The following is a 9505-nucleotide window of genomic DNA, read 5'->3' on the forward strand; positions in this document are numbered from 1 at the left end:
TGGCTCACTGCAGCCTTGACCTCCTAGGCTCCAGTGATCCTCCTGCCTCAACCCCACCAAGTAGCCGGGATTACAGGCATGCGCCACCACACCTGGCTAATTTTTTTAGTTTTCAAAGAGACGGGATATCACCGTGTTGCCCAGGCTGGTCTTGAACTCCTGAACTCAAGTGATCTGCCCACTTCGGCCTCCCAAAGTCCTGGGATCACAGGTGTGAGCCACCGCACCTGGCCCAGATTTTTTTTTCTAACACTTTCTGTTTCAGCATTCACAGAAGTGAGGCTATTAACTTCCAGCTTCGTGCGATGGCTCGTCCAAAACTACTACTCCTTATTTGGGAGTCCTCCTGGAATCACTAGGGGGCAGTATAAATGTCTCCCAAGAAGGCACTAAAAAAAGGGCCCAAATGAGTCCAAGTCCACTGTGTTCCTAAGGCTACAAGTTCAGTCCCTAGTCCAAGACACCCAGCTATGTTGTCAAACATAGCATACTGGAAGTTCCACAATGACAGTAAATCTTGAAAAGAAGGTCCTCTGATAGTACTGTGCATAGATATACTCCAAAAATAAAAGGCCCAAAATATTTTTTAAAATGTCCCAAATGTGAATATAAGCCCCCTCCCAATACGAAATTCCCAGGGAAAACTTAAAGTCCAAAAACCTAAGTCCCTTTGCATGTTAAAGTTCAACGGCATTAAAATCCAAATAAATTTTCAGGCCTGAAACAAATTGCGCTTTAAATGTTCAATTGTTCATTCTGCTCAACCTCAGTTACACGCTTCTCAAGTCTGGGTGAGATTTGAAGCTTTTTCAACAGGGAAAGCCTGAAGTTTCTCTTACTGTAAAGTATATCATTCCTTCATGGCCTCAGAAGCTGCATTAATTCAGTGCCAAGTCTTTCATGAACCTTCCTTTTCAAAGAGCCTGAGTTACCATATACACAAGGCAATCAGAACACTGGTGCTGGATCCCCCCAATTTTTTTTTTTTTTTTTTGAGGCAGTCTTGCTCTGTCGCCCAGGCTGGAGTGTAGTGGCATGATCTCGGCTCACTGCAAATCCCACATTCAAGCGATTCTCCCACGTTCAAGCGGTTCTCTCGCCTCTGCCTCCCAAGTAGCTGGGACTACAGGTGCATGCCACCATGTCCGGCTAATTTTTATATTTTTAGTAGAGATGCGGTTTTGCCATGTTGGCCAGGCTGGTCTCAAACTCCTGATCTCAAGACATATCTGCCCGCCTCGGCCTCCCAAAGCGTTAGTATTACAGTCATGAGCCACCGCGCCTGGCCAAATCCAACCAATTTAAGAAACAAGCTATCCCCAGTCCCTAGAGCATCCCAGGCAAAATTTTGGTCCTGGAATCTAGCACTCCCCTTTGCCTAGGTATTTATTTATCTAACACATTCATCTAGCTTTGTCTCATGAAGTATTCTATGGTGAGAGATACAAAATCAATAACTTCTTGGTCTACAAAAACAGCCATTGTTCAAATACATCTTGTCGACCTTTAGTTCCCTCGGTTGAATAATTCCATCTGGGAAACATGTTTCCCTGTCAGGCCATCATCCAGTTCAGACCTGGATGCAAGTTATCATTTTTCTTCATGCTCCTCTTTAATCTCACGTTTACAGAGCCTTTCCTAAGGATTCTTAGGGTCCCTCAGGACAATGACTCTGAACTCACTATAATGGTTGTGTGCACAATGAAACTTACCAGTAATTTCACTGATTACTGGTCAATCAGTGAACTGGTGTTATACTGATTTTGATCACTGGCTCTAAAATTCTGCCACCATTTAGTATGGCTGTCCCGGTAAATAGGGGGCAGTGTCTCTATTATAATAATTCTGGATTTTTTCTTTAACTTGAGGAGACCACCTTAAATCATTCCCTGGTTGTTAGCCCCTCTGGGAGAATCATTCTAGACTGCACTGGGATACCCTGCTTTCTCTGTTAGACTTCTTTATGTCCACCATTATTGCTGTTTTAGTAACTGTAAGACATCTTTACCTTGTCTGATGCCTTTTTTTTTCTTTTTTCTTTTTTTTTTTTTTTGAGACAGGGTTTCACTCCTGTCACCCAGGCTGGAATGCAATGGTACCATCTCAGCTCACAGCAACCTCTGCCTCCCAGGCTCTCAAGCGATCCTCTTGCCTTAGCCTCCCAAGTAGCTGGGACGATAGGCATGTGCCACCACACCTGGCTAATTTTTTTTGTATTTTTTGTAGAGATGGGTTTTCACCATATTGCCCAGGCTGGTCTCAAACTCCTGGGCTCAAGTGATCTGCCTACCTTGGCCTCCCAAAGTGCTGGGATTACAGGGGTGAGCCACCGTGCCCGGCCTGATGCTATCTTTAACAGTAGTTCCGAAAGGAAATCATGTCAATTTCCCTTTTACAGGCACCTATCCCAGCCTTTCAGATCTATTTGTTCATTTTGTGTCTGTCTAGTCTGTCTCCTACTGCGTGTTGAGGGAGGAGTTGTGGCAGGGGCGGGAATGGTGGGAGTGTGACTCAGCTGCCCACATAACTTGCTCGTGCCTTCAGGACCTGTTCATGTCTGGTCTTGTACAGACTACTTCATCTTAATGATAGAATCTTCCTGGACATGCCCAATCATATAGCTTAGAGGGTCAGAGAGCATCAACTTGATGAAAGACAGCTCAGACTGCTTATGCTCCCAGTGTCCTGTGATAAGGCATTTATTTGCTACAAGCACCCAGTAGTAAAACAAGGTCTGTTTCTCAAAAGAATAGTAATTTGGGCTGGGCGCAGTGGCTCACGCCGGTAATCCCAGCACTTTGGGAGGCCGAGGCAGGCAGATCACCTGAAGTCAGGAGTTCGAGTTCAGTCTGGCCAACATGGTGAAACCCCATCTCTACTAAAAACACAAAAATTAGTCAGGTGTGGTGGCAGGTGTCTGTAATCCCAGCTACTCAGGAGGCTGAGGCAGGAGAATTGCTTGAACCTGGGAGGTGGAGGTTGCAGTGAGCTGAAAGTGCGCAGCCTGGGCAACAGAGCAAGACTCTGTCTCAAAAAAAAAAAAAAAAAGAAAAAAAGAAAAGAAAACAAAACAAAACGAAAAAAGAAAGAATAGTAATTTGCTTTAAAAATGTGTCTTTGTTAGGGATCTTCACTGTGATTCTCCAATAAAGACATCACAGTTTCCTGAAGGGCCACAGACACTTTGCACACCATCAAATCCACTGGCTCACAAGGGCCAAGTGGCAGAGCTATCTTGTGCTCCAACCTGAACCAGCTGGAGATTCTTCTGATGCTCTGGGCTCCGTTAGAGTTGACAGCCTTTTCAAGTCACTCAGCATGTCAGATATTGATGTGGGTTGACCCAAAATGTCCATTCTCCCTTTTTTCCATTATGTTTTAAATCTGAAGTTAAAATTTAAAATAGAATTTTAGCTGGGCAATGAATGCCCAGTCTATCATGCTAAATGACGCATGTGAATAAGTACAACACCCCAGGCATAGCACAGCCACATAATTGAAGGACCTCGGGTCCCTGGATGTTCTATGGAGCACAGCTGTTCTACCAGGCTTGGGCCACTTACCTCAAGATTGTCTTGTGAGAGGCAAATACGTTTCTGTCTTGTCTAATGCATTGATAATTTCAGTGTCGTCTGTTTAGCAGCCAAACCAATAACTTAACTAATATATTCAATACAAATGGACTGGAGAACAAATCACACATTTAATATGTGTTACCTCCAATAGCTAAAGGGCCACCAAGCTTTGTCCCCACTCCCCATCGCTCTCATTCTTTGTCTTTTTTTTATGTCCTCCTCTAATACAGTCCCTTCTCCACATATAGGCATCCTCAGCATCTTTCTGAAGTTCCTTTATAGAAATACAAGCAAATATAAACAAATATCCTTTTTATCCTTTTTTTTTTTCTTTTTCCTTTTTTTTTTGAGGCGGAGTCTTGCTCTGTCACCCAGGCTGGAGTGCAGTGGCATGATCTCGGCTTACTGCAAGCTCTGCCTCCTGGATTCATGCAATTCTCCTGCCTCAGCCTCCCAAGTAGGTGGGATCACAGACATGCACCACCACGCCCAGCTAATTTTTGTATTTGTAGTAGAGACAGGGTTTCACCATGTTGGTCAGGCTGGTCTTAAACTCCTGACCTCAAGTGATCCACCCCTCTTGGCCTTCCAAAGTACTGGGATTACAGGTGTGAGCCACCATGCCCAACTCTCCTTTTTATCTTTCTTACACAAATAACATATATACACTTTTCAGTACCTCACTTTTTCACTTCACAATATGTATTTCCTGTATCAGTACATAAAAAAATTCACAATTTTTTAAACAGCTGCACAGTGTTGTGCAGCTGTACCATATGTTATTTGACAGCTTATTGAGAAGCATGTATTATTTCCAGTCTTTTGCCATTTAAAACAATTCTGCAACCATGACACACATACCATTTTGTACATGTGCAAGAGTACCTATATTTGTAGGATACAGTCCCAGAGGCAAGAATGCTGAATTAAAGGATGTATGCATTTGTAATCTGATGCATATAGACAAATGTTAGGACATATAGTTTGTTCTATTTTTGTATTCCTGTCAGTAATTTATGAGAGTCTTAGTTTCCCTACAACCTTATCGATAGAGTGTGACATCTTACTTAATTTTGCCAATTTGATTGGTAACAAATGGTATCTCAGTAGTTTTGTTTTGTTTTGTTTTGATATGGAGTCTCGCTCTGTCGCCCAGGCTCAAGTGCAGTGGTGGGATCTCGGCTCACTGTAAGCTCCACCTCCTGAGTTCACACCATTCTCCTGCCTCAGCCTCCCGAGTAGCTGGGACTACAGGCGCCCGCCACCACACCCGGCTAATTTTTTTGTATTTTTAGTAGAGATGGGGTTTCACCATGTTGCCCAGGCTGGTCTTGAATTCCTGACCTCAGGTAATCTACCTGCCTCGGCCTCCCAAAGTGCTGGGATTACAGGCATGAGCCACCGCACCCAGCCGGTATCTCAGTAGTTTTAATTTGTATGTCACTTATGATGAATCAAGTTAAGCATCTTTCATATATTTAAGGCCAATCTGTATTTATTTATTTTTTATTTTTTGAGACAGAGTCTCGCTCACTGCAACCTCTGCCTCCCGGGTTCAAGCAATTTTCCAGCTTCAGCCTTCCGAGTAGCTGGAATTACAGGCACGTGCCACCATGCCCAGCAGTTTTTGTATTTTTAGTAGAGATGGGGTTTCACCATGTTGGCCAGGCTGGTCTCGAACTTCTGACCTCAGTGATCCACCTGCCTCGGCCTCCCAAAGTGCTGGGATTACAGGCGTGAGACACCACGCCCGGCCACCAATCTGTATTTCTTTTACTCAGAATTGTCTGTTCAGGTCTTTTTCTCATTTTACTGTTGGGTTGCTAGATTTTTCTCATGAATATAAGGGAGTTCTTTATGAGACATTAGAAGTTGTAGAAAAGTTTTCCAGCTTGTCACTAGTGTTTTGACTTTGCTTGGGATGTTATGTTGTTGGAAATCCTTTTAATGGTTGCATTTATCAGTCATTTTAACCTTTACTTAGGAGAAAATCTCTCAATCTGCTCCAGACCTCTAGACCCTTAGAAACATGATGTGGTGTTGGGATCTTGTGTTTTTGTGGGATTTATCTTCCCTCCTGGAATGTAGGTGAGTGTCTTACTAAGCCATGTTGGTCATCTGCTACATCCTGCAGTTGTGAATCTTTAAATCACCATCAGGGTGGTTCAAGTCAGGCCTCTGTTCACCCTATCGTAGAGACGTTCTTGTTTTTTAATTACTATACAGATCAGGCAGAACCTGCATGAGCTGCCCTGTAATTTGGTCATAGGGGACCCATAATCAATCACCTACTGCCAGGTAACAGAGATCCTGTTATTCCGAACATTACCCCGACCATGCTGCCTATTTTCGTAAGAACATCCACCATGCCTTTGCCTAACCTCCGCCATCCTGGATCATGCTTTTTCTCCCCATAGAAATCAGGAAGCTCATTTCAATTTAGACATTTTTCTGATGGCCAGTATAGCAATATTCAAAGATGCTGGTGCTTCCCTTTCCAGTGTTTCTCAAAGTCTTGGTGCACACTGGCCGGGCACGGTGGCTCACACCTGTAATCCCAGCACTTTGGGAGGCTGAGGCGGGTGGATCACCTGAGGTCAGGCGTTCGAGACCAGCCTGGCCAACATGGTGAAACCCCTTCTCTATTAAAAATACAAAAAAAATTAGCCAGGCATGGTGGCAGGCACCTGTAATCCCAGCTACTCTGGAGACTGAGGCAGGAGAATTGTTTGAACCCGGGAGGTGGAAGTTGCAGTGAGCCAAAATCTCATCACTGCACTCCAGCCTGGGTGACAAGAGCAAGACTCCATCTTTAAAAAAAAAAAAAAAGTATTGGTGAACACTATCTTCTAGCTCTTTAAGGGACATATTTTGGTGAGGAGTGAGCAGTTCACCCATTAAAAAACCACTCCAGCATTCCTATTTTCCTAAGCCTTTGAATTACTTCCTTTGTATTATACTAAGGAATTTCTGGCACCTCAACTTCAATTAGCATGGGTAAGCTACGGCAGACCACAAAGGAGACCAAGGTTTGTACATTGGTGAGAATGACAGCTCAGACTTAGCTAAGGCTTCTCTCACTAGACTTTACAATTGCTTCAAAACCTTCACACATGATTAAGAATACATGTTGGTGTGAGTAAACGAGCACCTCAGGATCTCCTTTTTAAAATTACTTATGTATTTATTATTATTATTATTATTATTTTTTTTTTTTGAGACAGAGTCTCCCTCTGTTGCCCAGGCTGGAGTACACTGGCACATTCTCGGCTCACTGCAACCTCTGCCCCCTGGGTTCAAGCGATTCTCTGGCCTCAGCCTCCCCAGTAGAGGGGATTACAGGTGCCTGCCACCACGCCCGGATAATTTTCATATTTTTTTAAGTAGAGATGGGGTTTCACCATGTTGGCCAGGCTGGTCTCCAACTCCCGACCTCAAATGATCCACCTGCCTTGGCTTCCCAAAGTGCTGGGATTATAGGCGTGAGCCACTGTGCCCAGCTGGGATCCCCCACTTTATTTTTTTGGAGACAAGAGTCTCACTCTGTCACCCAGGCTGGAATGCAGTGGCATGATCTCGGCTCACCGCAACCTCGGCCTCCTGGGTTCAAGCGGTACTCCTGCCTCAGCCTCTGGAGTAGCTGGGATTACAGGCTTGAGCCATCGCGCCTGGCCAGGATCCCCATCGTTAATTACAGAGGTGTACCCTCAGTTTGGTGGTCTCAACAGCCCTCCCAGAGTGATGAATTCATCAGGTCAATGGAGTTGAGAAACATGACTGCCTTTGATACCACTTTAGGCTGTCCATTATTTCAAGGGTCCCACCTATTTCCAGAAAATAAAAAAGAAAACTTCTCATCTCACTGCAGGGACATAATCTGGTTCCTGCTGTTTTTATGCCTTTCTGCATCCTCAGGCCTGCTTGAGGCTTTGTCGTTGCAGGTCTGGGCAATAGCTTGCCACAGTGGGCCAGCTATTTTGTTGTTGTTGTTTTGAGACACAGTCTCACTCTGTCGCCCAGGCTGGAGTGCAGTGATGCCACCTGGGCTCACTGCAGCCTCCACCTCCCAGGTTCAAATGATTCTCGTGTCTTAGCCTCCAAAGTAGCTGAGATTCCAGGCCTGCACCACCATGCCTGGCTAATTTTTGTATTTTTAGTAGAGACGGGTTTTCACTATGTTGGCCAGGTTGGTCTCGAACTCCTGACCTCAAATGATCCTCCCACCTCAGCCTCCCAAAGTGCTGGGATTGCAGATGAGCCACCGCGCCCAGCCAATGGGCCAGCTTTTAAAATAGAAATGGAGCACACAATGAGAATTGCTCCCAGCTGTTTGATCTAGCCTAGCGATTTCAGAATCTCTGATAATTTCATTCACATTGATGATTTCAGCCTAAAGTTTTCATCTTTCCTACTTAATCTGGCGCCCTCAGAATAAACCTTAGGTAGCCTATTTTTTTCCTCTAATATAAAGTAGCAAAAACTCTCCCCTTAGTCTGACTTTGTAATTGCCTCATTAGTCCCATCTAGGCACTCCTCAATCTAGTTCAGCTGACACCCAACATTAACCATCACACGTGCCCAAACTCATGCTACAGAGTGAGTCTGCTGGGCAGACACACACAGCCACTTGCACCTCTAACATCATCAGTTTTGGACAAGGACACGAAATGTCTGTTCCTGCTGCCTCTGGGAAGTGGCTGTAGGAGGGAGGCTGCGTGTGCCAGAATAGAGTCAGTATGGTTTCTGCTTTTTTGAATCACTTGCTTCCAGTTCATCTGATGAATGGAAACTTCATGTCAATGTCTTTATTCTAGATTGCAAAGTAGCTTGGGAAAGCAAATACCCAGCATTTTCAGCTTCTGTAGTGGAGGTTTGGGTCTCTCCAAATACAGAAAGCAGTGTTTAAATGCTGAGAAACCAAAAAAGAATGACAAATGGCCACTTAGGGTCGTATAACTTGACACTCACCAAAAGAAGAAATTTCTCTCTCCAACTCCTCATCATTGAAAAGAGGCATTCAAGATATTTTTATTGGCCTGGGAATGGTGGCTCATACCTGTAATCCCAGCACTTTGGGAGGCTGAGGCAGGCAGATCACTTGAGGGCAGGAGATTGAGACCGGCCTGGCCAACATGGTGAAACCCCGTCTCTTTGAGAGGTGAGGCAGATGGATCACTTGAGGTCAGGAGATTGAGACCAGCCTGACCAACATGGTGTAACCCCATCTCTACTAAAAAAACAAAAAACAAAAACTAGCTGGGCGTGGTGGCGCGAGCCTGTAATCCCAGCTACTCGGGAGGCTGAGGCAGGAGAATCGCTTGAACCCATGATGCAGAGGTTGCAGTGAGCCGAGATTAGGCCACTGCACTCCAGCCTGGGGGACAGAGCGAGACTCCTTCTCAAAACAACAATGAAAAAAGATATAGGCTCATGCCTATGATCCCAACACCTTTGGGAGGCTGAGGTGGGCAGATCACTGGAGGCCAGGAGTTCAAGACCAGCCCGGACAACATGGCGAAACCCTGATTCTACTAAAAATACAAAAATTAGCTGGGGGTGATGGTGCATGCCTGTAGTCCCAGGTGATTAGGAGGCTGAGGCACGAGAAATCACTTGAATCCAGGAGATGGAGGTTGCAGCGAGCCAAGATCATACCATTGCACTCTAGCCTGGGTGACAGAGCAAGACTCTGTCTCCAAAAAAAAAAGGAGGAAAAAAACCGAGAATTATATCTTCTTTGTACTCTACTGATATGCTGAACCTATTGTATTTTCAAGTATTAGATTTTATACATATTAAATCCAAAAGTGTATGTCTTATATATTAAAATGTTTGAAAAATAGTAGAGTCATCAAAGAGAATATAATAAAAACAGCCTCTTAAAAAAAAGTTTGATTCTTAGTATTTGTTGGTACAATATACTAAACCCT

General features: G+C 44.5%; 1 annotated feature.

Annotated features, from left to right (window-relative positions):
• Positions 7085 to 7589: an enhancer, noted in NCBI's record as "H3K27ac-H3K4me1 hESC enhancer chr11:102131708-102132212 (GRCh37/hg19 assembly coordinates)". NCBI's record gives its function as "activates a minimal SCP1, AML or CMV promoter by ChIP-STARR-seq in naive H9 embryonic stem cells {active_cell/tissue: H9 hESC(naive)}" and the evidence as "EXISTENCE:reporter gene assay evidence [ECO:0000049][PMID:30033119]".

The sequence above is a fragment of the Homo sapiens genome, chromosome 11, assembly GCF_000001405.40.
Source record: "Homo sapiens chromosome 11, GRCh38.p14 Primary Assembly".
Lineage (NCBI taxonomy): Eukaryota > Metazoa > Chordata > Mammalia > Primates > Hominidae > Homo > Homo sapiens.